The sequence below is a fragment of the Homo sapiens genome, chromosome 2 (assembly GCF_000001405.40).
Source record: "Homo sapiens chromosome 2, GRCh38.p14 Primary Assembly".
Taxonomy (NCBI): Eukaryota; Metazoa; Chordata; class Mammalia; order Primates; family Hominidae; genus Homo; species Homo sapiens.
In genome coordinates, this window is record NC_000002.12 from 42,043,584 (window position 1) to 42,064,102 (window position 20,519).

Below are 20,519 nucleotides of genomic sequence, written 5' to 3' on the forward strand. Positions count from 1 at the left end.
ACTAGAAATACAAAAATTAGCCACACGTGATGGCCAGCGCCTATAATCCCAGCTACTCAGGAGGCTGAAGCACAAGAATCGCTTGAACCCAGGAGGTGGAGGTGGCAGTGAGCCAAGATCGCGCCACTGCCCTGGGTGACAGAGTGAGACTCCATCTCAAAAAAAAAGAAAAAGAAAAAAAGAAAAGAAAAACAAAAGAAAGTAGTTCAACCCTGTAATTCCAACACTTTGGGAGGATGAGGTAGGATTGCTTGAGCCCAGGAGTTCAAGAACAGCCTCCACAACATAGTGAGATCCTGTCTCTACAAAAAAATACAAAAATTAGCTGGGCATAGTGGCTCACACCTATAGTCCTAGCTACTTGGGAGGCTGAGGTGGGAGAATCACTTGAGCCTGGGAGGTGGAGGTTGTAGTGAGCCGAGATCGGGCCACTGCATTCCAGACTGGGCAACAGAGCAAGACCCAAGACCCTATCAGAAAAGAAAAGAAAAAAGAAAAGAAACGAAAAGAAAAGAAAAGAAGGAAGGAGAGAGAGGAGGGAAGGAAGGAGGGAGGGAGGGAGGGAAGGAGGGAGTGAGGGAAGGAAGGAAGGAAGAAAGAAAGAAAGAAAGAAAGAGACAGAGAGAGAGGAAGGAAGGAAGGAAGGGGAAGAAAGAAAGAAGAAAAGAGAGGTTCAAGTTATTTCTGCCCCCTGGCAGAGTTATACCCAACCAAGTTGTATAAGATGTTGTCACAGATGTTTGTTTGTTTGAAATTTGTGTAAATACTAGGTCACTCAGTTAATGAGATTGAATCCCTGATTCCAAATCCCAAGCTCTTTACATCAAGTTTTCCAAGACCTGAGAAATGTATTATGTACATTTCCTTTCTCCACAAAACTCTAAGAATAGACACTCAATATCCCAAGGACCTTCTGCAACACGACCCCAGTTGCAGAAGCATTATCTCTACCTCAACACTTTCTGGGAGGCCTTGAAGGACCACTTGGCAAAGATTAAGCGGAAAGGCTAGAAGATGGTATTTCAGGAAGAGGAACTGGGAGAGAGGGCACTGATGGGAAAACGCAGATGATGGCTGGGGCAGGAGCTGGTGCAGGAGGAGTCTGACTTTGTGTGGAGGAATGGAAAGGGGAACACAGGCTTAGGTGGGGGGCTGGGGCCAGCTCATGGAGGCCTGAAGGCCAGTTCAGCTTATCCTCCAGGTTTTTGAGTAGGACAGTAATACTCCAAAAGAGGTGTCTGAGCCTTGGCCTGCAGAGAAAAAGATGGACAATAAAGAAGGCAGATGGGAGGCTAGAATAACCCTTCAGACAGTCTAGGATGATGTGACAGAAACATGCAGAAAGAAGGTATTTAAAAGACACCTTAAAGAAAATTTAGCATTTTGGAGTCTGGGCCATCTGCCCTCTTCCCAAGGATTAATATCCAAGTAAGTGTTTTGAGTGGGGTAGGAGCATGGCAGAAAGATAGAGGGAGCAAGAAAGCATAGAGCATTGGACGTACTGAGCCTTCCAGACCTTGCACAGACACTGTGGTCTGAGGGCTGCCAGAAGCCCTGGGGGAGACAGGGAGGACTGCCAGCTGATGGCTCCTGTATGAAGATGGCACTGAGGGCTCTGAGCTGGACACTGGCCTGCAGACTCTGGCCTGTGAGGCCCAGGCTATGGGCTCCACCTGGTCTTTGAGTGGGTGGGCAGACTGCAGATCAGGGGCCTGCAGCAGCATTTCATGTATTTCAATTCTTTGAAATGATTCCTCTCCCTGGGTGGCAGAAAGGAAAAAAAAAAAAAAAAGCAAACAAGCAAAATATAGTTAAGAACTCAAGAACTGCCAATTCAGAAACTCTAATCTGCTCAAAAAGTTCAATCCCTTTCTTTCAGAAGCCAAAAACCCATTTCCATCTCAGATTGTATATGTCTGTGTCTGAGAGCTGGTGAGGGAGACAGTGAGTATGCGAGGGAGGCCACTGAGATGCCTTTGTTCCTGTGTGTGAGCTACTGCTCTGAACTGCTCCGTGGACCTGTGTGTGTTGCACGCACATTTGTGCCTGTTTCTCAGGCCCCTGTGTGCCTTGAACTTTCAAACCATAACAGAAACACTGAAGCTTGGCAAAGATATCACAGGAATAATTATCTAATTTCAGAACATGTTATTATAATACCTACATGATGTGTAACAAACTTAACAATGTTCATGTTATATTCACCTACTCTGAGCTGTAGACTCACAACGCCAAGTTTTACCCTCAGAAGTTTCTCCAAAACACAAGGGCAGAGCAAGCCCCAAAGAAAGTTCTTCAGGGAATATTCCCCCACAACAGCTCCCTCACGGATTGAGACGTTTGGCTGGGTAGATGTCTATGGGGAAATTGCTGGAAGGAGGACAGAGCCTATCTTGGGATGGCAACTGTTCCTCCCAAAATCCTCATTCCTCCCCAGAAAAGAAGACATGGAACTGATAAGGAACTAGCAGCCATATTGGGGTGACACAGGCAGACAGGCTTTTCCTGATTCAGCTGTGGGCCGGGGGGGGCCTCCTAATCCACCCAGCTCCCCGTTTTCCCCAGGGGTCTGAATTGGACCAAGGCTGAGTGTGAGGGGAATGGTTTGCTGTTTGCTGCTGTTCCCTGTTGACTTTAGCCAGTAGCTCTGTTTACAAACCCAGGTTGGTTTTCCCAGCACAGTTAATTAGACCAAAGACATCTGGTGCAAGGCTGCGGAGAGGGCATCTGCTCAGAGCCTTCCCCCTACACCCTGCAGACTGCAGCCACGGCCCAGAGTGGGGCAGAACAGCTCTATCGGTACAGACCTGACTCCACCAGACCCAGTGTTCTCGGAGGAATCATGGCTTCCTTCACCCTGCCTTTCCATGCTTGCCAAGTCGGACTGGGCCCCAACTCCCCAAGCCATAGAGAACAAGGAGTCCGGGCTGGAAGGCCCACCTCAGTGGGATCATAGGCTGGAGATCAGGGACTCAGCTCTCTCCTCGGTCCTTCCATGTCCAAAGGAACAGGGCAGAAATTCCTGTCCCTTTCTCATCACAGACACTGCATTCTGTAGGAACGCCAGACCTCTTCAGGGAAAATCTCCCCTCCCTGGATACCCCCCCACCCACCCCCACCCCCAGAAAAAAGGCTGTGGACCCTTCTCCTCCCTGACCCCTCCCCAGCCAATCCCTGACACTGTGAGGAGGACAGAGATTAACCTGGCCCAGAGGGAGGCAGGAAGCTGCCCAGGAAGGTGAGAGGATCTAGGTGGGCAGTTTCAGAGTGGCGGGGAAGAGGAGAGCTGCGAGGGGGAGGGGCAGCGGCTTATCTCTCCCAGGAGGGGGGAGCTCACTCCAAACAGCTAGTGCACTGGCGTGTGAAAGCCCCTCAATTAGCACTAATGATGCAATCAGGGAGGGAGGAGGAGGGACCGAAGTTCTGGTGGCGTCAGCACCAACTTACACACAAGGTACACATTCCCTTCATCGGACACAATGGCCCCTTCAGACACGCCGAGGCACACACTCCACAGACAGCCGTCCGTGGGCACAAACGCACTCTTTGCCCAAGCTACTAGCATGCACATGGTTTCTTATACGCGGCTGACCCCGTCAGACCCCAGGCATCTTGAGGGGTAGGGAGCGACCCCCAGCTGCATTTGGGGCTTTAGAGGCAAGGAAAATCAGAAACACTTTGGTAAAAGGAGTTGAACAGGGCATCCTCGGCGAGCTCACGAGCATTCCTCTATGCCTAGAGCTCCTGTCCCACGCGCGCTCGCAGGTGCTGGCCCGGCTGTGCCCGCTTCCCCCTCACCATCGCCCCAATCCGGAATCCGGGGCTGAGCGAGGAGCCGCCACCCCCGGCCCCACCCGCGAGAGACGGGGTCCACGCGCCTTCCCTGCGCCCAAACCGCCCCGAGGCCCCCAGTCCCAGGAGGGAGCGCTGAGATCACTCGGATCTCCGCACCCCGGACTTAGCTGCTCGTCCCCTCCGGAGCCCGCTACCCGCCGGCCTCGCCCCTTTATCTTTCCCCCACTCCGCCCGGCCGGCTCCGTTATCCACCTCCCAATCCCGTTATCCGGCCGCCCCGGCCCCGTTATCCGCCCTCGCGTTGGGCGCGGAGCCCCCGCGCGCCTCCTGGCCGCCGCCGCCCCCTCCCCCGCTCCCAGACGGAGCTCGGGGGACCGCGGGCTGGGCGGGACCGCGGGCTGGGCAGGACCGGAGCCGCCTCCGCGCCGCTTCCCAGGCCCGGACGGCCGCGGGAGGAGGTCCCGCTGTCAGTCAGCGGGGAAGGCCGGGCCGGGCGGCCGGAGGGGGCGGCGCCGAGGACGGGCTCGGGCCGGGAGCTGGGAGGTGGAGGCGGAGGGGCGGGGGAGGGGGCGGGGGAGGGGGCGGGGGCGGGGGCGGGGGGCGGCTCTGGGCCTTATAAGCGGCGGGGGCAGGGCGGCAGGGAGGCAAGTGTCAGGCCGATGTGTCGCCCGCGAGGGGCCGGGGTCGGGGCCGCCGGGGCCATGCGCGCGGGCTGGGCAGGGGGCCGGCGGGGCGCAGAGCGGAGCCGCCTCGGAGCCTGAGCCGCCCGGGGCCGGGGCCGGGGAGCCGCGCGGGGCCGGCCGGCCGGGGGGAGGGGAGCGATGCGGCGCCGGCGGGCGGCAGTGGCCGCGGGTTTCTGCGCCTCCTTCCTGCTGGGCTCCGTCCTCAACGTGCTCTTCGCTCCGGGCTCGGAGCCTCCGAGGCCAGGCCAGTCCCCTGAGCCTTCGCCGGCCCCGGGTCCGGGCCGTCGCGGGGGCCGCGGGGAGCTGGCCCGGCAGATCCGGGCGCGCTACGAGGAGGTGCAGCGCTATTCCCGCGGGGGCCCCGGGCCCGGGGCGGGCCGGCCGGAGCGGCGGCGCCTGATGGACCTGGCTCCGGGCGGGCCCGGCCTGCCGCGCCCCCGGCCCCCTTGGGCCCGGCCCCTGTCCGACGGCGCCCCAGGCTGGCCCCCGGCTCCCGGCCCAGGCTCCCCCGGCCCGGGCCCGCGCCTGGGCTGCGCCGCGCTTCGCAACGTGTCCGGCGCGCAGTACATGGGCTCAGGCTACACCAAGGCCGTGTACCGGGTCCGCCTGCCCGGCGGTGCCGCGGTGGCGCTCAAGGCGGTGGACTTTAGCGGCCACGATCTGGGCAGCTGCGTGCGCGAGTTCGGGGTACGGAGGGGCTGCTATCGGCTGGCGGCCCACAAGCTGCTTAAGGAGATGGTGCTGCTGGAGCGGCTGCGGCACCCCAACGTGCTGCAGGTACGAGGGTGGGGACGCGGGGGTAACGGTGTTGGCTGGGAGTGCCCAAGACCTTGTCAACCTGGCTGGAAGAGAACCCCTTGATCTGGAGTGCCAGTGACTGCACCCAGGCTAAGCTAGACGCAGAAACCGGACCATGGCCCTTCCCACTGCACCACCCTGCTTCTCACTCCTGGGTGGGCGTCCCTTTACCGGAGAACTCCTGGGTTTCTCGGCTTCCACACATCTCTTAAAGACAGGCCAGGACAGAGGCTCCCAAAACTCAGGGGGTGGGGCAGTCCATTAGGATTTAGGACTCTACTCCGGGCTGGAGTTAGGAGGTTGAACACCAGGGATATTACCCCAAGCCAAAATGACCCTAAGCCAAGACACTTGAGTCAGAATTCCAACTGTGTGATAAAGTCCCCCTTCTTGATGGAACTTCTCCCAACTTCCAGTGATTTGTCTGGTTTTGAAAATGAGACGGGACAGCAGTGGGGCTGGGAAGAGCTGGAAAGAGACCATGTGTCAGGCTTGATTCCTATAGAGTCTCCCCACCCACCCACCTCCAGCGCCACCCAGAAGACACTGGAAGGGGGCTGGGGAGCAGGCTAGAAAAAGGGAACACAGTCCTTCCCAGAAGTGAACTAAGGGTTCCCCAGGCCTTAAAGTGGGTCCTTGAGCCCCTGGAGAAGCCTGAAGGTCTCAGCTCAGTGGACAGACTGGCGGCCTGAGGATCTAAATGTCACACTGTCTGAGTGTATATAGATAGCCAAGAGGCTGGAAGGTTGAGAAGGCCAAATGCTCAGGTTCCTACTCAACGGGACTCTGCCTCGCCTGTTCACTGGAGACACAGGCGAGAGCTGAAACCCCCACCTTGTCCCCTCCAAGCTAGACTTTGAGTGGGCCTCTCACAGTCCCAGCACCGCCCTAACACTCCACGTCCTCTCTCTCAGGTCTCCCCCCATCCTAAGATTAGACAGACTATTCCCTTTGCACATGTCTGAGCAAACAGAGGGGAATCCCTGACCGCTGTTGGCCCGGTGAACATGGGTGTGTGCAGCCTCCCCAACGGATGAAATCTTGCACACACCTTCCACCTACCAGCCCACTCAAACTAACCTTTCTGCACCCAGCAGAAATGACTGGAAACCCAGGAGTCCCTCTCTCCTTTCCTTAGGAGTGAGATGGCACCCCAGCCCTGGAGGGAGATGGGTGGGCGTCGTAGAGCAGGAGAGACTGGCCCAAAAGTTGTTTATACTCCTGTTGGCTCCCAGTCTCCCCCTCCCCCATCGTATTCCCCAACCCTGGTCAGACACTTGTGACCGGGCCCTGGGCCCCAAACTGGTCTCAGGAGCTCGGGCAGAACCAACACTTGCGTGTAGTGAAGCCTGGCTGCACAGCTCACACCGTGTCTGCAGCTTCAGGGAGTGAGCCCCTGGTTACGTGGCCATTCTAACTGGGAGGATCTTGTACTCTTTCCTTCCCAGGGACTTTTGGGAACTTTTTGGAAACTCTAGGGTGTCAGCCAGATCCTGAGGGAGTGGAGAGGTCTTGAGTGACTTAGCAGGACATAAAGTCTTAGTTACTTGACTCAAGACCCCTCTCCCTTCAGACGGGTTTGATGTTTGATGTGCTTTCCTATCTTTTAAGAAACTTGTCCCTCACTCTTCCCGCCAGCTCAAACTTCCTGACAAGCATTCAGCTAACGCCCCACATATATATCACGTGACGGTCCTCCTCTGAAATGTCAGGCCCCCAGCCCAATTCTGAAGGCACCAAAGAAAAAATTACAACAGAATAGTTTTCACCCTTCCCTCACCAAACCAAGACCAGGGTTGTCTGGGGTTAGCTGTGTGACTCTTTATTGTAGAGTCCCAGACGAGAGTTAGTGGCCCCAGGGCACAAGGGTTGCTAAGGGAGAGAGGGTCACAGGTCCTTTCTACCCAGGAAAAGTGAAAAGTGGGGGGCCCTTTAGTGTGAGTTTAGGGACTGCTTTGATGGTGGCTCTCCCCCATTCATCTTCTGACCATCAGGCCAGTGTCGCTCTGGCCTCCTAAACACGGCCATCTTTGCTGGCAGGGAAGCCTACAGTGGGGTCTTCCTGCCCAGGAGGCTTCAGGGCAGGTGTACAGGGAACTAGAAATAATGCTGCTTTAATACCTCTGAGTTATTTAAAATTTCAAAACCATTTGACTGTTTGCTGAACTGGGGAGGAGTTAGAGAACATTTCTAGAGTTCCTAGTGGTGCAGGCTCACCACCCTCCCTCTCTGAGCAGCCCAGAATTGGTGCTGTGGATTCTAATAGAAAATGCCCAGGCTAGCAGGCCCCATTCTGCACCTCCCAGGGCTTTCTCTGGTCATGGGGATTGCCTGGGCGAGATCTTTCTATCCATTTTCTTTGACCCCTCCCCATCCCGCCCCTGACACACGCATACACACTCCCTCACGTGACTTGACTCCTCTATAGCCCAGGGCCAAAGGGCACAAGGGTCTCCCCTCCCCTCAACCTCTCCCCACCTCCCCCTCCCCCAGTCATCCTGGGGCCCCCAGGCCTTGGATGGGCCCCCAGGCCTGCCTGGGCCCAGATTCTGGCCCTGCTAGAGTATATTTCTTCTCCCAACCAAACAAAAGATGTGACTGAAATGCTCAGCCTCACGCTTCCTGGGGGGGGTTAATGGTGTCTTTTTATTTTTTCCTGAGGGGTGTTGATTAATACCTCGTTAACAGCGCATTTAACGACCTCCGGGTGTTTAATAACCTTCAGAAGTTTCCCACAAAGGCTCAGACTCTGGGCAAGAAAATGAGAACCAGGCCCCAGGGCTGTTCCCCTTACCTTCCCCCCACCCCACCAGGGTCTGGGGCTTCCCTGGACTGATGGGGAGGGGGTGGAGAGAGAAGAGGGTGCCTGGAGCTGCCCTGGCCCCCCAAGTCACAGCCCAAGAGTGAGGCCTTCCCCCATGCCAGCAGGATGACGGGGAGCTGAGGGGGCACTCCTAGGGCGGGAAGAGGACATGTGAGGACCTGGAGTGGCTCTGGGGAGGGTGTGAATGATGGTATGAGGGTGACAGTGCACAGGGATATCCACCCCTCCACCGCATAGCTCTCCTCTCCCTGAGTCGGGCCTGGACAACTCAGCCTTCGTGTTTCTACCCCACAGGGTGCTGGTTGTTTTGAGCACCATACGAGCCCCTAGCTGCTGTGGAGTATGTTGGAAGAGCCAGGGGGATGCCTGTGGGTGCTGTTAAGGTGGTAGTGACACTCAGGCTTTGCTTCCCAGAAGTCCCTGGGCAGTGCGGAGCTTCTCCCCAGATGACATAGAGTGGGCAGTTCCCTGTGACCGTAACCCCAAAAGAACTGATCTTCCAGGAGGAATCATCACTCACTACCACCCCCACTGATACACATCACTCATATGCAAAACACACCTGGGGATGTGCCCTCAGGTACCTTGTTCTTATCAACACTTGTTACCAGTCTAAGGGAACTTGCTTTTCCTCCCTCAAGACCCACGCAGAGAAAATTGAAGCTGCCAGAAGGTAGAAATGATGAGGGATAGATACAGATTCAAGGAGGGGAGGAAGGATAATGTCCAACCGTATGCTCGCTTGTGTATTACCAAACAGCATTCTTAGAAAAAACAGATTGTGGCCGGGCGCAGTGGCTCACGCCTGTAATCCCAACATTTTGGGAGGCCAAGGTAGGCAGATCACTTGAGGTCGGCAGTTTGAGACCAGCCTGGCCAACATGGTGAAACCCTGTTTCTACTAAAAAGACAAAAATTAGCTGGGCATAGTGGCAAGCGCCTGTAATCCCAGCTACTCGGGAGGCTGAGGCAGGAGAATCGCCCGCACCCAGGAAGCAGAGTGAGCTGAGATCATGCCACTGCACTCCAGCCTGGGCAACAGAGCGAGGCTGTCTCAAAAAAAAAAAAAGAAAAGAAAAGAAAAATAAATAAAAATAGGTTGTGGAATCCGAGTGGCACAAATTCACATCTTAGGCTCCTACATTGATCAGCTGTGCGACCTTATGCAAGCAACTTAACCTCTCTGAGTCAGCCTCCTCACCTGAAGTTGGAGATAATAATAGCACCTACTGTGCCCATTAGGGTTATTACAATAATTGAGTTATGCACGTAGAGCAATTTAGCATGGTACCTGGCACGTGGTTAACTCACAGTGGCCAGACCTGCCTATTTACCTGAGTCGGAAGGGGTGAGGGGCTGACATGGTCAGTAGGAAGTCTGACTGCAGGGAAGAGAGGGCATGCTTCCCAGGCAACGCTGCCATTCTCTTCTGGCCTGAGCTGAAGCAAAGGCCTGGGGATGGTGGGAGGAGAGAGAGGGGGAACCTGACAGTCCAGCCCTTCCCTGTCCCCACCCCCACCCTGTGACCTAATGACCTGCCCTCGGCTTTCCCCAGCTCTATGGCTACTGCTACCAGGACAGCGAGGACATCCCAGACACCCTGACCACCATCACGGAGCTGGGCGCCCCTGTAGAAATGATCCAGCTGCTGCAAACTTCCTGGGAGGATCGATTCCGAGTGAGCTCAGAGGAGGGCTCGGGCCCTGGGCTCCTTGCTAGGATGGTTCTGCCTTAGAAGGCCAGCCCTCCAAAGCAGCTCCCACTCCTCCTCCACCCAGGGAGAGGGAGGGGAGGAAGGCGCACAGGCTGACTCAGCCACCGGCCAAAGGGTTCAAAAAAGAAGCAAGACTTAAAGGATCCCGACATGCTGTGCTCTTGCCCTCCTCACCCCTCCTTGTGCGCGTGTACACACCAGCTTGTGGGGGCTGGCACCTTAAAGAGGGGAGCACTCACACACTCACACTCAGCCTGACTGCAGGAGGGCCAGTGTCCTAGAACTAGGAAAGACCTTAATACCATCCTGACCCTCCCGATATTTCCATACACTGAACTAAAACAACATTCAGGATGCAACTTCAGGGAAGAGATGCATTATCCCCAGACCCTCGCTGCTGCAGTTTCCCACCCACTCCATATCATTTCCAGGGTCAGGCCAGCCGAGAGTTAATAGAAAATCACTGGCCTCCTCTCTAAGGCTGCTGACCTTGGCCTTTGTGGAGCCCTGGGGCCTATAGAAGAGAAGTGCCAACCCCCACAAGCAAAGTTCAGATTCCAAGAGGAGGGTGCCCTCGAGTCCCACAGACCCCCAACCCAGGAGAAAAGCAGTGAGCAGTCTTTTCTTGTGCCCCTCAGATCTGCCTGAGCCTGGGCCGCCTCCTCCACCACCTGGCCCACTCCCCACTGGGCTCCGTCACTCTGCTGGACTTCCGCCCTCGGCAGTTTGTGCTGGTGGATGGGGAGCTCAAAGTGACGGACCTGGATGACGCACGTGTGGAGGAGACGCCGTGTGCAGGCAGCACCGACTGCATACTCGAGTTTCCGGCCAGGAACTTCACCCTGCCCTGCTCAGCCCAGGGCTGGTGCGAGGGCATGAACGAGAAGCGGAACCTCTATAATGCCTACAGGTGACCTCCACCCCTGACTCGGGAACTCCATCGAAGGAGAATGGGCCAGGAGGGCATGGCAGGAAGAGAGCCAACGTGGAGGCCAGCTGGGCAGGGAGACTCAGCCTTGACCAGAGCAAGGGAAGGCTTCTACCCTGTCCAGAAGGGAACATTCAGGCCTCTGATGGAGAGGCTAAAAATAGACAGCTCCAAGGAGAATCCGGGTTAGGGGGTGGCAGCTGGAGGCTTCTTAAAATAGTGTTGGACTCGGAGCCTAGGGCTGGTGGAACTGGCACTTTTCCCTTCCCACCCAGGCCCTTGTGCTCTGGGAAATTCCTCACTGGGCCCCAGCCATGGGGCTGCTCCGACACCGGGAGTCAGTCAGGGGATAATGTGGGGCTGGGAGGTGGGCAAGTCCTGGGAAGGGTTGGGAAGCAGGCCCCTGGTTTCGGTTAGTATGAAGTTAGGTGTGGTGTTAGCATGTGCCCAGAACCCTCCCCCGAGGCTGAGTAGACTTCACTGCGTTCTGCCTGGTTGCTAGGCCTGAGGGATCCGGCTCCCTGGCCAGGTTAGCGTTCTGCCCCAGGTTGGAATAGAGGAAGGATGTGTCTCCAAAGGCTGGATTCCTGAGCCACTGGTTTCCCTCTGCCACAGGTTTTTCTTCACATACCTCCTGCCTCACAGTGCCCCGCCTTCACTGCGTCCTCTGCTGGACAGCATCGTCAACGCCACAGGTGAGCTCTCCAGGGCCCATCTGCTTCCAGGCACCTACCCCACCCCCACCCGCCAGCAAAAGTGGGGAGAAAAATAACCCAGGGCAGCAGGGGTTCTAGAAACCATCACTTCCTAAGGTGGCATTCTGCCGCAACCTCCCCGCTCCCCCGCCCTCTGTTCACTGGGGCACAGGCTCTGGAGGCAGAGGTGGGAGCAGCTGGCTGCTGACTTCAGGGAGGAGTGGGAGCCCCAGGCATCCTGTCTTAGCCACACTGCACTCTGCAGGAGAGCTCGCCTGGGGGGTGGACGAGACCCTGGCCCAGCTGGAGAAGGTGCTGCACCTGTACCGGAGCGGGCAGTATCTGCAGAACTCCACGGCAAGCAGCAGTACCGGTGAGTGGCCCCAAGCTGATCCACAGGGAAGCAAGAAACAGGTGGGAGGGTGAATGACCCCGCCCAATTAGGCTAAGTGGCTCACCCTTTCTCTGGGGACCCTTGTCTCCAAAGGCCACTGTAGGGGCTCACATAGAATCATGGAGGGGCTGACATGGACTAATTTGAGGTTCCATCTCTAGCTGAGCTAGAGCAACTATAATTCTGCCTTCAACCTGGGGTTGGGCACTGATACCCCTACTCTGGATGGCTCCAAACCCTATCATGTACTGGCTATATGACTTTGAGCAAGTTACCCCTTGAACCTCACTTTCCTCATCTGTGAATTGGGTTCACTATTACCCACCTCACCAAATTCTTATGGGAATTAAATGTCAGGTGAAATGTGTGAAAGCAATTAGTGCAGTTCCTATGACACAGCTGGAACGCAGTATATGTTTGCTTCCCTTTCCTTCCTCTAACCTCCCGGGGCTAGAAGGGCACTGCATGTTAGGGAAGGCACACACTGAAACCAGCCAAGAAGCCCCAGGGCAGGGGGAGAATTCTGGCCACTGGTTTCAGGCTGTGGTCCTTCTGCTGAAGCCCTGGGGTTTAGCTGGGGTTGGCAGGGGTTGAGGGGTGAGCAGGTTTCATATTCAAGGAGTTCTGGCTAGTCTTAGGGGTGGGGGAGCCCTGTTAGCCCTGTAAATAAAGTTTAACGAGGTGAACAATGGCTGGCTCTGTCCCTGAGGATGCTGTTTATGGGGCTGTAAATCACAGTCAGCCCTGGACTTTGGTCTAGTCCCTGGTAGAAGGAGGCAGGAGGGTGGGGTGGCCAGAGGCCCAGGGCTTCTGCATTATCAGTCCAGAGCTGGGGCTCTCCAGGCAGTGGGAAAGACAGGAGCAAACAAGAGGCCAGCAGCTGAGGAGCTCACTGATTGTGAGTTTTCAGAGCTTCTGAGGCTCTCTCTGTAGAATGAGATCTCAGATTTTCCCTCCAGCCCCCTCCCCACTCTAGCCATGGATTTTTTGCATTTTAGTCCATTTGCATGCCTCTTAACTTCAAAAACCCCGACTCCCTTCCATCCCAGGCCCTTCTGAGGAACTTGCCTAACTTCTCTCCCCAAGGCCAGGAGAAAATGTGAATGAGGGTTGCTCTGAACCCTTGCAGGCCACACTGGATGCTGGTTAGAAGTACAGATTCTCAGTTCTACCCCAGACCTACAGAATCAGAATCTTCATTTGGTTGGGCATGGTGGCTTACACCTGTAATCCCAGCACTTCGGGAGGCTGAGATGGGAGGATCCCTTGAGCCCAGGATTTCAAGGCTGTAGTAAGCTATGATTGTGTCACTGCACTCTAGTCTAGGCAACAGAGTGAGACCCCATCAAAAAAAAAAAGAAAAAAAAAGAAAAGAAAAAGAATCTGCATTTTAACAAGAGTCCTTGGTAATTCACATGCACATTGAAGTTTGAGAAGCCTGGCTCCAACTGTCTAAAATGTCCTGGCCTCAGCAATTAGCCTAGACAGCTGGGACTCCATGTGTCCCTGTATATGTCTGTACCCCTTTCATGTGCCTGCTATCTTGTACTGCCTGACCAAGCTATGTGCCCTTAGATTTGGGAAATATGTATCTCCTGAAAATCAAGTCTGTGCTTTGTCTTTATTGAGCAGTCAGCCCTGTTTCAACAGTGGTAGCTGCCTTCATCTGCGTGCTAGAGGGCTGGGCTGGACTTCAGCTTTCACCTAGGAAATGAGTCTTGCTGCCCTTTCCAGAAAGTGACACATCCTTGGGCACTCAAACCTGGGCATACAGAATTCTCATTTTACTCCATCCCCAACCCACAGAGTACCAGTGTATCCCAGACAGCACCATCCCCCAGGAAGACTACCGCTGCTGGCCATCCTACCACCACGGGAGCTGCCTCCTTTCAGTGTTCAACCTGGCTGAGGCTGTGGATGTCTGTGAGAGCCATGCCCAGTGTCGGGCCTTTGTGGTCACCAACCAGACCACCTGGACAGGTGAGCCAGTGGGAGAAGCCCTTCCAAGGGAGATGGCAGGACCTCTCTGGAGGTTGATAGATAGTGATCCCCCATCGGAAGTCAGAGGGGGTGCTGAGGTGATGAGAGAGAGGTATACGTGTCTTCAAGGCAGTCAAATTAGGGAGAATGGTCTTGCCTCCAGAAAGAGAAACATCCAGCCCTGTTACCTCTCACCTCTGCCCCCCAGGTCGGCAGCTGGTCTTTTTCAAGACTGGATGGAGCCAAGTGGTCCCTGATCCCAACAAGACCACATATGTGAAGGCCTCTGGCTGACCTATCTGAGGGCTCGGCTGACCAGCTGACTATCCTCAGCAGCTGGGCTTGCCTGTGGAGGGAGTGACTTGCACTGGCAGCACTGCATGTCACCTGGGAACCCCTGCAGACAAAGCTAACATCCCAGACAGACAGATGTGACCAGGACAAACGTGCAATAATGCCAAATGTTAAAATGTGAGTTTACCAGCCTAGCTATGGGACTGCTGGCTCCTAGTCCAGGAATCATGGGGGTATGACTGCCTCTCCAACCCTGTGGGCTGTAAGCAAGCTCAGGCTAGTCTCCCCACTGGGGGCTGTGCCCCTCCCTGGGACGGTTCCGTGGGCAGCCCCATCACTGTGTTCAATAGTGTGAGAATGTAGCTAAAGCCCCTGCTGCTGCTGCTGCACATGCCACAGCAGGCGGTGGGGGCTGCGTGGGGACAATCCATCGTGGAGTGTTCTCTCAGCTTAGGTCTGGACAGGAGACTTGGCGGGAGATGCTCCAGGATGTGGGTGATTCTGTACCTGGGGAGGCTATCTCTGACCTCCCGACAGGGGACACTCCCAGGCCAGCCCAGGGGTCAGGGGCAGAGGTGCACACCTCAGCATGAGCCAAGACTGGGGTCAGGGAGCAGGTGTGGTTTGAGCCAGGACCTGGGGCGGGGGTGGGGCCGGGGCCTTTCTGCCTCATTTGCTTTCAATGAAAGCCTCAAAGCAGCCAAAACCAGGCTTTCCCCCTTCCTCGAGTTTGAATATCCAGAATCTTTTGTACTTCTTGTTGGTTAAATTGTTTATTTTTGTAAAAAATAAAATAAAATTAGTTAATAAAATGATGTTTCACAGCAAACTCTTCCCTAATGACAGTTTCTTAGGTTGTGACTTCTTGGTCCTCAGTTATATCCTTGGTATATGTTTGTGGGGATGCATGTGTCACAGGGGAAGATGAGTGAAATCTCAGCAGCAAACCCTGAAGTCATCACAAAGTGTTTTCAGGCCCTGCTCCCACCCATGGTGCCCACCTCCTGCTGGGTCTTCCACATCGTGTCCCCAAAAAAGACATGGGGACTCCCTTTTCCCCCAAGGAAGTTCTCATTTTTACAGACCGGCTTCTTATGTATGAAGCCCTAACCCAGTGGAATAATGTCCTCATGGTGAGATGTCAGCCATGAAGGGGTCACAAGGAGCACCCGAACAACCTGCAGGTGGGTCAGCTTTACCTCTGCCCAGGGTTGGACCTGGCCTGGGCCCACCACAAGGTCATGGGCACTAAGCTTTTCTGAGTCTTTCCCTGAACATGAAATATATGAACATTCAGAAGAAAGGAGGGTCTGTGGAAAGACCAGCTTCCACTTTGTCAATTTTAGGAGGGAAGGTCTAGCTGGGCTATATCGAAGTCCAGAGCAAAAACAAGAACCTGCGGGTTTAGGATCACACGGAGGCCAGAGAGCTCCGCCATGAATGCAGGGCTTCTGACTTGAAACCCATATCTTCTCTCCTATACACCATTCTACTTTTAGAATATTCTGGATGGGCACAAACCTTTGGAGGCTTTAAAAAGAATAACCAAACTTTAACCTGATTTCTCCTCAACAGACGTGGTTGGTGTAATTTGTCACATAACAAGATGTCCCTGTAGTTCGAGGTGACTGAGGAGCCGTATTTGCTCTGCAGCCCTAGTCATAGTCGCCGCTCTGACCCTCAGGGTTGCAGCTCACCACTGCCATCCCCAGCCCACACACCCCACATCTTGCCTCTGGTGTTGGGCTTGTTGATTGTGGGATTGTGGGTGGAGGGGAGAGGCAGAGCCTCCACAAAGCCTCACACCATGACAATGCAGCCAAATCCTGCCATGCTCACCACCCTCAGACCATCCTTAACCCTCGAAGGAGGACCTCAGCTTCCATCACCCTCGGGCCTCCTTCCCTAGCTGAACTCACTCCATGCAACATGCATAGCCCACCCCACGCAATCCAGTACTGGACTTTACACAATCCTCTATTACCCTCCAACAGTCATATGGCCTGTGGGGCTCTGAGGGCCGGAGGAACCGCATCCACCAAGGAGGCACAAGGCGGGGCCAGAAGTGATGAGAACCTGAGGGGAGGGGGCTGGGCCAGGAAGTTTGCGAGGGCTGCACAGTCCAGAGGGACCCAAGGACCCAGTAATAACCAGGAGAGAGGCCCGCAGGGCTCAGGAACCACAGGACTCTGGGGAAAAAGACCAAAGTGAACCAAGTACTGCCTTCCTGGCTTTGAGAGATTTCCAGACGAGGGGTTCACCAGCCCCTGGAGAGGGACAGAGGGAAATAATACTTCCAGAGGACCAGGCTCTGGCCTCAGCAAGGTACAAAATTATTCCAATTCTAGCCCAGAAAACTGAAGCCCAGGTAACAGCTGCTAAGTGTTTCAGCAAGCATTCTAATCCAGCCTCCCTCCAAGCCTGCGCTCTGTCCGGTAGTACGGAGTGCTGCCTCCGAGAAGGGACCCATTGCAGCAGGAAGAGTGTAAGCTAGAGTTAGGGAAGCGCCTCCTTCCTGTGAGTGTGTAACAAACCGAAATGGAGGTCCCGCAAGGCATAACATCTTTTTAGAAAGACTGACACACAGTGGCTGAAGGGGATGGTGGACGGCTCCTTCCTTAGTGAGTGAGCCTTGTCCCAGAACCTATTTCTGGGGGCAAAAATGGCCAGATTCAGTCCTGCAGAGTCAAGAGAAGGGCATTTGCAACTGGGAATGGAGAAGGGATGGAGTGCCAGAAAGAAAGGGGAGGTAAAGGAAAGCCTGAAGCAAAATCATTCCTCTCCCAGATGACCTTTCACAGAGAGCCACCTGTTTCAGCCAGAAACACAACGCCACCTCCCCTTCCACCCACCAAGCCACGTTCTTCCTACTCCACTGCAATGCTAGTGATACCCGGGTGTAGTGAACAGAAAAAATATATTCACCCAACTGAAGCCTCAGGTGACATGCGCCAGAGGAGGGAAGGCAAGGGTGGGGATTGGGAAGGGATCCTTTTCTGAATTGGGGAAAGGATCCCCCAGTTGTGTTCCTGAATTGAGGAAGCAATGCAGGAGGGCAGTATGACCTAGTGGTTCCCCGTGAGGCTCTGGAGCCAGCCAAAGCTGGGCAGGAGTCCCAGACAGTTCTGCTTTTTGCTCAGTGTGATCTGGTTCATGACAACCTCCCTGAGCCTCCATTTCCTCATCTGCAAATTTCAGATGGATAATCTGCTTCACAGCAGCCTTACGGAAACTGAATAAAATCCTGCCTTAGCCAGGGTCAGCAAACGGTACATGCTTAGGAAATACTGGCTGATGCTGTCATTGTTATTATTTATTAGCGAGCTAAGCCCTCAGTGTTATCCATGGCCTGGCCTGGAAGAACATCCAGGTCAACTGCGGAGGACGAAGGCACGAGCTGGACTGCCCACCCCTTGACTCTGCAGCCCCCGCCCCACCCCGCCCTCCCACCATAGGGAATAGGGCCTTCAACTGCGGGAGGTGGGGCCCGGCTCTCTGGGTCAGTGCCCTGGGAGTTCAGTGTGTGGTAGACAGAAGGAGGAAGAGGATTAACATGAAAGCAGAAAATGGGATTAGGAGGCCTCAGGATAATGTGCCCACCCACCCCCCATCCATGACAACAGCTTCTTGCTTTCACTCTGTGGCTTCTGGAGCCCGAAGCATGTAAGACTTGGTTGTCCCTGCTCCTGAGGGCAGAGCCAGGAAAGGAGACTTGGACTCTGAGCATGAGACTACTCAGTTGACTAGGAAGAGGGGCAGGGCTGTAGCTGGCTGCAGGCCAGGCCTGCGTGACTTTCTGTGCACTTTCTCATTTAATCCTTACGGCAACTCTGAGAGGTGGGTGATGGCCCAGAGGGGTGAAGAGCAGGGATCCAAGCCTAGGCTGTTGCCCCCAAAAGCCTGTGTTCCTTTCCCTCCACCCAGAAGCACACCCAGTTATTGCCCTAAACCCATAGGAGCAATGATCCACTCACACCTGCCACCTCCCCTGGATCATCCACAAAAGTGAGGATGTCCCAAGGACCCTGACCTTAAAGGACCCCTTTGAGGTCTATGTGAAGAACTTTTATGTTTCTCTGTTCACCTCTCCGTGAACCCCAGCCAAGGCTACCCCCTGAGGTAGACAAAGTGCCACATCATTCCCACCTACGGGAAGGAGATAGACCAAGATATTTCTAATAATTGCCTCTTAAGCTCTAGAGGATCCCTACAACTGTGTTTGGGGGAAGTTCCTTCTCCCACTCTCATTCCAGTCAAGGGCCCTGTCAGTCTCCTTTTCTCAGCATTTTAACGACTTGTTGTCCTGGCCCATCCTACCCAGCCCTAGGCCCTCTGGCCTCATTCCAGCTCCAGAAAGCCTCTCCTAGGATGCAGAAAAAAGAACTTTTCCCTCTATCATTCAAGGCCCCAACAGGAAACAGAGAGCACAGTGTGCATAAGACCCATTTACAAATGTGTAGGTCCAAAGGATAGCTATGACCTGAGCCAGTGGCAGCCAAGCTATTTCCATCTCTATCCCCCACCAAAGGAAGGGAGTGGGAGCTATTACCAGAACTCAGAACCTGGAAGAAGAACCCAGGAGTCATGTAGAGTTGGCACTTGAAGAAGTGACCAAAGGACACCACCAGACAGGGTGACCCCACAAGGTGGGACATATACTCTCACCACACATTCCGTCCTCACTCCCCCAGTCTCCTGCTGAGCTCCCCATTGGCCAAACTCAACTTGAAGGCAGAGGGCTAAGGAACTCAATGTGCTCACCTAAGAGCTGGTCAGGAGCACCCCATCTCACCTCACATCTTTGGGATTTTGTTTGGCTTGAGGGGAAGGCAAGAGATGACTTTTTTGTTCCCAGTTCCATCCTTAGATATTCAGCAATTTGTTGTTGTTTGAATGAAGTCACACTTTTGGGCCCAATCCTGCAGAAAGTCCCTTACAGCATGCATTCTCAACAGAGCTACCATCATTCCCAAGGAGACAACACTTGGTTCTTGGGAGATGGAAAGTCTTAGATATCACAATGGTTTATGGCCCTGCAAAGGGCCACAGGACATAAACAGAAATGCAATATTCCATGCTATTAAAATTTCATGGAAGGTGGTGGCAACTGGGGGAAAGGTAGGTTAAAAAAAGTACTTGGTGGGGGTGGGGGATAATAATGGAAAACAGGTTGAGAAGCACTGGATTATAGTGACCCAAAATCTTTCCTTGGGCTGTCACTGAGAGCTTCAAATCTCTCATCCTCAAAGGTGCAGCTTATACTATTATTTTCTAAACTGGTATATATGATGTATTCACTATTATTTTCTAAACTGATATATATGATGTATTTACATGTATTCTCTTTACACATCCATAAAAACAAAGTTCAGGCTGGGTGCGGTGGCTCACGCCTGTAAACCGAGCACTTTGGGAGGCCGAGGCGGGCAGATCACTTGAGTTCAGGAGTTCGAGACCAGCCTGGCCAACATGATGAAACCCCAAGTCTACTAAAATACAAAATTAACTGGGCATGGTGGCAGGCACCTGTACTCCCAGCTACTCGGGAGGCTGAGTCAGGAGAATCACTTGAACCCTGGAGGCGGAGGTTGCAGTGAGCTGAGATCCTGCCATTGCACTCCAGCCTGGGCAAAAAGAGCAAAACTCAATCTCAAAAAAAAAAAAAAAGAAAAACTGCAATTCAAATGCTTTACTCAACCTGCCCTTGTCCATGGGGAACATGTTCAGCCATTCTTGAGCCCTCTGTATCTTCCTGCATCTCACAGCCCTTTGCTGGTATTTGCCTACTTGGAAGAGCTCAAGGTCATTGGCAAGCCAGAAGATTTCAATGTACACTCATTCTTCTCTCAACAGATCAAGCCACAAAATATTTCTTGGATGCTAGTCACTGTAATGAATCCAGAAATATCAACCATGCTCTGCCTTTCAGGAGCCCACTAAGTCACTGGAGATGTCACAATTCAAGGTGATATATGATCCATGACTCTATGGCGATGGGGATGATTTCCACATGTGACTTGTGAAAGCAAAAGGGCTTGATAGTCACATCTCAAATCATTAAGGGCCAGTTAACTTGGTCCCCCCAGGAGCATCAATTCCCCAGCAGGAGCCCCACAGTTCACATTTTTCCATCCAGATAAAGACTTGTTTATCCTTACTCTTTATTCCTTATCTCTAAGCCAGTTCCCTATTTGTTTCCAACATTCTCTCCATTCCCATGGTGACTCAACTCCTTTAACATGCTTTGGTGTGGCACCTGTCAGAGGACGCTTGAAAGTGTAAGGAGATTGTGTCTCCTGTTTCCCCCTTATCCGCACACTTATTCTGACCCTTCACAAAGCTCTAGTAGATTAGGGAAGCATGATTTCTCCTTACCAAAGACAGGCTGCCTTTCCACAGGAGGTGGAGTTTTCT

General features: G+C 54.1%; 1 protein-coding gene across 1 annotated transcript, besides 15 other annotated features; it reads left to right on the forward strand.

Moving 5' to 3' along the window:
- Window positions 2,815-3,318: an enhancer, noted in NCBI's record as "NANOG-H3K27ac-H3K4me1 hESC enhancer chr2:42273538-42274041 (GRCh37/hg19 assembly coordinates)". NCBI's record gives its function as "activates a minimal SCP1, AML or CMV promoter by ChIP-STARR-seq in naive H9 embryonic stem cells {active_cell/tissue: H9 hESC(naive)}" and the evidence as "EXISTENCE:reporter gene assay evidence [ECO:0000049][PMID:30033119]".
- Window positions 3,319-3,823: an enhancer, noted in NCBI's record as "NANOG-H3K27ac-H3K4me1 hESC enhancer chr2:42274042-42274546 (GRCh37/hg19 assembly coordinates)". NCBI's record gives its function as "activates a minimal SCP1, AML or CMV promoter by ChIP-STARR-seq in naive H9 embryonic stem cells {active_cell/tissue: H9 hESC(naive)}" and the evidence as "EXISTENCE:reporter gene assay evidence [ECO:0000049][PMID:30033119]".
- Window positions 3,319-4,026: a biological region, named in NCBI's record as "NANOG-H3K27ac-H3K4me1 hESC enhancer GRCh37_chr2:42274042-42274546".
- Window positions 3,447-3,566: an enhancer, noted in NCBI's record as "active region_15634". NCBI's record gives its function as "activates an Ori minimal core promoter by ATAC-STARR-seq in GM12878 lymphoblastoid cells {active_cell/tissue: GM12878}" and the evidence as "EXISTENCE:reporter gene assay evidence [ECO:0000049][PMID:35858748]".
- Window positions 3,737-4,026: a silencer, noted in NCBI's record as "silent region_11394". NCBI's record gives its function as "represses an Ori minimal core promoter by ATAC-STARR-seq in GM12878 lymphoblastoid cells {active_cell/tissue: GM12878}" and the evidence as "EXISTENCE:reporter gene assay evidence [ECO:0000049][PMID:35858748]".
- Window positions 4,137-4,386: a silencer, noted in NCBI's record as "silent region_11395". NCBI's record gives its function as "represses an Ori minimal core promoter by ATAC-STARR-seq in GM12878 lymphoblastoid cells {active_cell/tissue: GM12878}" and the evidence as "EXISTENCE:reporter gene assay evidence [ECO:0000049][PMID:35858748]".
- On the forward strand, window positions 4,438-14,934 carry PKDCC (protein kinase domain containing, cytoplasmic). The gene is made up of 7 exons (NM_138370.3): window positions 4,438-5,255; window positions 9,656-9,778; window positions 10,453-10,724; window positions 11,358-11,437; window positions 11,703-11,810; window positions 13,638-13,811; window positions 14,020-14,934. Exons 1-7 carry the CDS (start codon window positions 4,617-4,619, stop codon window positions 14,103-14,105), a joined length of 1,482 nt encoding a protein of 493 aa, NP_612379.2. The 5' UTR covers window positions 4,438-4,616; the 3' UTR covers window positions 14,106-14,934.
- Window positions 4,537-4,716: a silencer, noted in NCBI's record as "silent region_11396". NCBI's record gives its function as "represses an Ori minimal core promoter by ATAC-STARR-seq in GM12878 lymphoblastoid cells {active_cell/tissue: GM12878}" and the evidence as "EXISTENCE:reporter gene assay evidence [ECO:0000049][PMID:35858748]".
- Window positions 4,727-4,826: a silencer, noted in NCBI's record as "silent region_11397". NCBI's record gives its function as "represses an Ori minimal core promoter by ATAC-STARR-seq in GM12878 lymphoblastoid cells {active_cell/tissue: GM12878}" and the evidence as "EXISTENCE:reporter gene assay evidence [ECO:0000049][PMID:35858748]".
- Window positions 4,957-5,026: a silencer, noted in NCBI's record as "silent region_11398". NCBI's record gives its function as "represses an Ori minimal core promoter by ATAC-STARR-seq in GM12878 lymphoblastoid cells {active_cell/tissue: GM12878}" and the evidence as "EXISTENCE:reporter gene assay evidence [ECO:0000049][PMID:35858748]".
- Window positions 5,067-5,326: an enhancer, noted in NCBI's record as "active region_15635". NCBI's record gives its function as "activates an Ori minimal core promoter by ATAC-STARR-seq in GM12878 lymphoblastoid cells {active_cell/tissue: GM12878}" and the evidence as "EXISTENCE:reporter gene assay evidence [ECO:0000049][PMID:35858748]".
- Window positions 6,040-6,541: an enhancer, noted in NCBI's record as "H3K4me1 hESC enhancer chr2:42276763-42277264 (GRCh37/hg19 assembly coordinates)". NCBI's record gives its function as "activates a minimal SCP1, AML or CMV promoter by ChIP-STARR-seq in naive H9 embryonic stem cells {active_cell/tissue: H9 hESC(naive)}" and the evidence as "EXISTENCE:reporter gene assay evidence [ECO:0000049][PMID:30033119]".
- Window positions 9,212-9,927: an enhancer, noted in NCBI's record as "H3K4me1 hESC enhancer chr2:42279935-42280650 (GRCh37/hg19 assembly coordinates)". NCBI's record gives its function as "activates a minimal SCP1, AML or CMV promoter by ChIP-STARR-seq in naive H9 embryonic stem cells {active_cell/tissue: H9 hESC(naive)}" and the evidence as "EXISTENCE:reporter gene assay evidence [ECO:0000049][PMID:30033119]".
- Window positions 9,928-10,642: an enhancer, noted in NCBI's record as "H3K27ac-H3K4me1 hESC enhancer chr2:42280651-42281365 (GRCh37/hg19 assembly coordinates)". NCBI's record gives its function as "activates a minimal SCP1, AML or CMV promoter by ChIP-STARR-seq in naive H9 embryonic stem cells {active_cell/tissue: H9 hESC(naive)}" and the evidence as "EXISTENCE:reporter gene assay evidence [ECO:0000049][PMID:30033119]".
- Window positions 14,510-15,010: an enhancer, noted in NCBI's record as "H3K4me1 hESC enhancer chr2:42285233-42285733 (GRCh37/hg19 assembly coordinates)". NCBI's record gives its function as "activates a minimal SCP1, AML or CMV promoter by ChIP-STARR-seq in primed H9 embryonic stem cells {active_cell/tissue: H9 hESC(primed)}" and the evidence as "EXISTENCE:reporter gene assay evidence [ECO:0000049][PMID:30033119]".
- Window positions 16,501-16,570: an enhancer, noted in NCBI's record as "active region_15636". NCBI's record gives its function as "activates an Ori minimal core promoter by ATAC-STARR-seq in GM12878 lymphoblastoid cells {active_cell/tissue: GM12878}" and the evidence as "EXISTENCE:reporter gene assay evidence [ECO:0000049][PMID:35858748]".

What these genes read in the sequence shown, in the direction of transcription:
- PKDCC (NM_138370.3), top strand. Translation starts at nt 4,617, where the DNA reads ATGCGGCGCCGGCGGGCGGCAGTGGCCGCGGGTTTCTGCGCCTCCTTC. An exon ending in GGCACCCCAACGTGCTGCAG is followed by an intron (nt 5,256 to 9,655) that starts GTACGAGGGTGG and finishes GGCTTTCCCCAG; the next exon opens with CTCTATGGCTACTGCTACCA. An exon ending in CAGCATCGTCAACGCCACAG is followed by an intron (nt 11,438 to 11,702) that starts GTGAGCTCTCCA and finishes TGCACTCTGCAG; the next exon opens with GAGAGCTCGCCTGGGGGGTG.